Raw genomic sequence first — 3408 nt, forward strand, 5'->3', positions numbered from 1 at the left:
AGCCATTCTAACAAGTGTAAGAGGATACCTTGTTGTGGTTTTAATTTGCACTGTCCTCATAATTAGTGGTGTTGAGCATTTATTTATATACCTGTTGGCCATTTGTATGTCTTCTTTTGAGAAACGTCTATTCAATTCCTTTGCCCATTTTTAAATCAGGTTATTTGTTTTCTTATTATTGAGTTGTTTGGGTTTCTTATGTATTTTGGATGTTAACCCATTGTCAGATCCATGGTTTGCAAATATTTTCTCCCATTCCGTAGGTGGTCTTTTCACTCTGTTGACTATTCTCTTCACTGTGTAGAAACTTTTAAGTTTGATATAATGTTGTTTGTCTATTTTTACTTTTGTTGCCTGTGCTGTAGGGGTCATACCCAAGAAGTAATTGACCAGACCAATGTTGTGGAGCTTTCCCCCTATGTCTCTCTAGTAGTTTTACAGTTTAATTCCTTAATCCATTTTGAGTTAATTTTTATGTAAGGTGTGAGATAAGGCTCTAGTTTCAGTATGTCAAAAAACATCCCACTCCCCTGTTAATTGCAACTTTATTCACAATAACCAAGATATGGAATCAAACTAGGTGTCCATCAATGGAGGAATGATAAAGAAAATTTGCTATACATACACAATGGAATACTACTCAGCCTTGAAAAGAAAGAAATCATGTCATTTGAGACAGCATGTGTGAACCTGGAGGACGCTATGTTAAGTGAAATAATTCAGGTACAGGAAGACAAATACTGCATGATCTCACTTTTATGTGGAATCTAAAAAGAAATCTTAAATTCAGTCAGGCACGGTGGCTTACGCTTCTAATCCCAGCACTTTGGGAGGCCGAGGCGGGTGGACCGCCTGAGTCCAAGAGTTTGAGACCAGCCTGGCCAACATGGTGAAACCCCATCTCTACTAAAAATATAAAAACTAGCCGGGCATGGTGGTGGGCGCCTGTAATCCTAGCTACTTGGGAGGGTGAGGCAGGAGAATTGATTGAACCCAGGAGACAGAGGTTGCCGTGAGCCAACGTGGTGCCACTGCACTCCAGCCTCGGCGACTGAGTCGAGACTCCGTCTAAAAAAAAAAAATCTTAAATTCACAGAAACAGAGAATAGAATGGTGGTTACCAAGGTCTGTGGGGGATCCAGTTGAGGATACGTTGATGGGTCAACTGCCTCTTCGAACAAAAAGATATACAATTTAAGTTAGATAGGAGGAATACATTCAAGAGATCTATTTTATAACATGATGACCATAGTTAATAACAAGGTATTTTATTCTTGAATATTGCTGAAAGTAAATTGTCAGTGTTCTTACCACAAGAAATGTTAGTATCTGAAGTTATGTATATGTAAACTAGCTCAGTTGAGTAATTTAGCCATTACACAATGTATACATATTTTTTTAAAAAAACAGAAAATAAAAAGAAAACAATGTATGCAGTTCTGCATAGAAATCTCTAACATGTATGTATTGTTTAAACCAGTTTTCTAAGTGTGTATATTTAAAACTTTCAGAGGCAAATATACATTCGTGAACAAATGATGAATGAGTCAGAATCAAATGCTCAGTTGACAATATTAATGGTGCCTTGTTAGTTTGCAGCTTTTATAAAATGTGATGATGCTTATAATAATAACAGTTTCCAACATGTACAGGCGCTAGGGGTTATTTCTATATTTGTAAGGTTTCACCACACTTAAATTCAGTAAAGCTATTTAACGCCTCTGCCTGCAAAAACTGTCTGTGGAAGGTCATTAGCCAATTGTAGATGCATCTCTGAATTTTCAGCAAAGCATCTCTCTCTCTCTCTCTCTGCCTTTCTCTCTCTCTCTCTGCCTGTCTCTCTCTGTCTCTCACACGCACACACACACATACAGAAACACATACCCTCATACACACTTGAAGTTACTATAAAAATCCCATGCTTTTATCATTGGTTAGCCTCTTCTACTTTTATATGACATTAGATTTTCTGGTTTAAGAGCTAATTTTCCCAGAAACAAGAATAATAAAATTATCACAACAATTTTTTTAACATTTTAATGATATTCTAATCTTTCTAAAGCACTTTTACTTTTGGAACTAACCACAATGGGCAGGTATGGGCCCCACAATGGGCACTGCAACCAGTGCCCGCACTGGACTGGATGTTATTCCTCTTCAGCAGAAGATGAAGGCCCAATTGGTGAAGTGGCTCAGTGGAATCAGGACTTGAATGCAGATTCTGCTGAAGACCTGTCCAGGGAGAAACTGCTCTTCCCTATCATGCTGCTTCTCCTTAAACACCAAACCAGACCAAAAAATTAGAATTGTGTATACACATGCAAAATAAATGACATAGGCGCCTAATTTGAACTTCAAATAAATGCAATAATACTTATCCTAGATAAAGCAGAATTTGGAAGATGATTTCAATAAATCCACAATTACATCTAGAATAAGTCTTCTTAACTGGGCACCCATCCATTCCTTGGCTTCTGGAAGTTCTCGGATGCCTTAAATTATATGTACAATGTCTATAATGTAAGCACCCGAGAGAGGCCAACACATAATGGCTAGTTTATGTTGAGGTGCTGGATACTCATCTCCAACAGACTCTGTGTACCAACCCACATGGCCTCCTGAGGCACAGAGAAAACGAGTCTGTGCACAAGATTGCTCTACTCCCCTTATACAGAACAATACTTGAGTTCTGAGCAGCCCTCCTACCCCAAAGAGCAGAATCACTCTATCGTAGTGATGTTCTGGTTTCCCACCTTGGAATGGGAGGAATGTAATAAAAAACAAGCCCATTCTCCCCATCAGAGCTCCTGCTGTTGGATACTTCCCGCCTTAACAGCTGAAAAAGAGGCAATTTCTGATGAGGAAATTGGATTGGGTTGAAGAAGAGTCACAAATACCTTCTTATTTGCTCCTGACCCACTAGTGTGTACTAGGGAATGCCTGGCCTCGACCTTTTCTGAGGTCAAGGCTGCTACAGAGGAATTTATTCATTCCTTAGGCTCACATAAGAAGATATTTAACAGAAGTTTGTTGAACAAATGAGCTAAGTGTCAAGAACGACACAAGGAAGGAGCAGGGCAGAGTCAGCTCCTAGAGAGAAAGAGAGTTTTGTTATGCGGAGCTCACTTTTACTTCCCCTAGCAGATAACTTTCTCCTGCTTCTTAAAGAGGCCATGAGGTGGGGCAGGGGGGAAGGGGATGGTGCTAGTTTAGGGAAAACTTTGGGATTATGCCATTACCCCCAAGTTTTTGCAATCAACTGTTGGAAGAAAGATCTTAGACAAATTAAATTTAACAGAGTTTGTTTGAGCAAAGGAGCAATTTGCAATCAGGTAGCCTCCCGAAACAGACTCTGGTGCTGCTCTGTAGTATAAGATTTATGGAAAGAGAAAGGAAACTGACATACAG

At 39.3% G+C, this 3408-nt stretch overlaps 1 annotated feature.

The window, feature by feature from the left end:
- Window positions 2838-3132: a silencer, noted in NCBI's record as "tiled region #8730; K562 Repressive non-DNase unmatched - State 24:Quies". NCBI's record gives its function as "represses a minimal TATA promoter and a strong SV40 promoter by Sharpr-MPRA in K562 cells {active_cell/tissue: K562}" and the evidence as "EXISTENCE:reporter gene assay evidence [ECO:0000049][PMID:27701403]".

Source organism: Homo sapiens, chromosome 4, assembly GCF_000001405.40.
Source record: "Homo sapiens chromosome 4, GRCh38.p14 Primary Assembly".
In the NCBI taxonomy this organism is placed as follows: domain Eukaryota; kingdom Metazoa; phylum Chordata; class Mammalia; order Primates; family Hominidae; genus Homo; species Homo sapiens.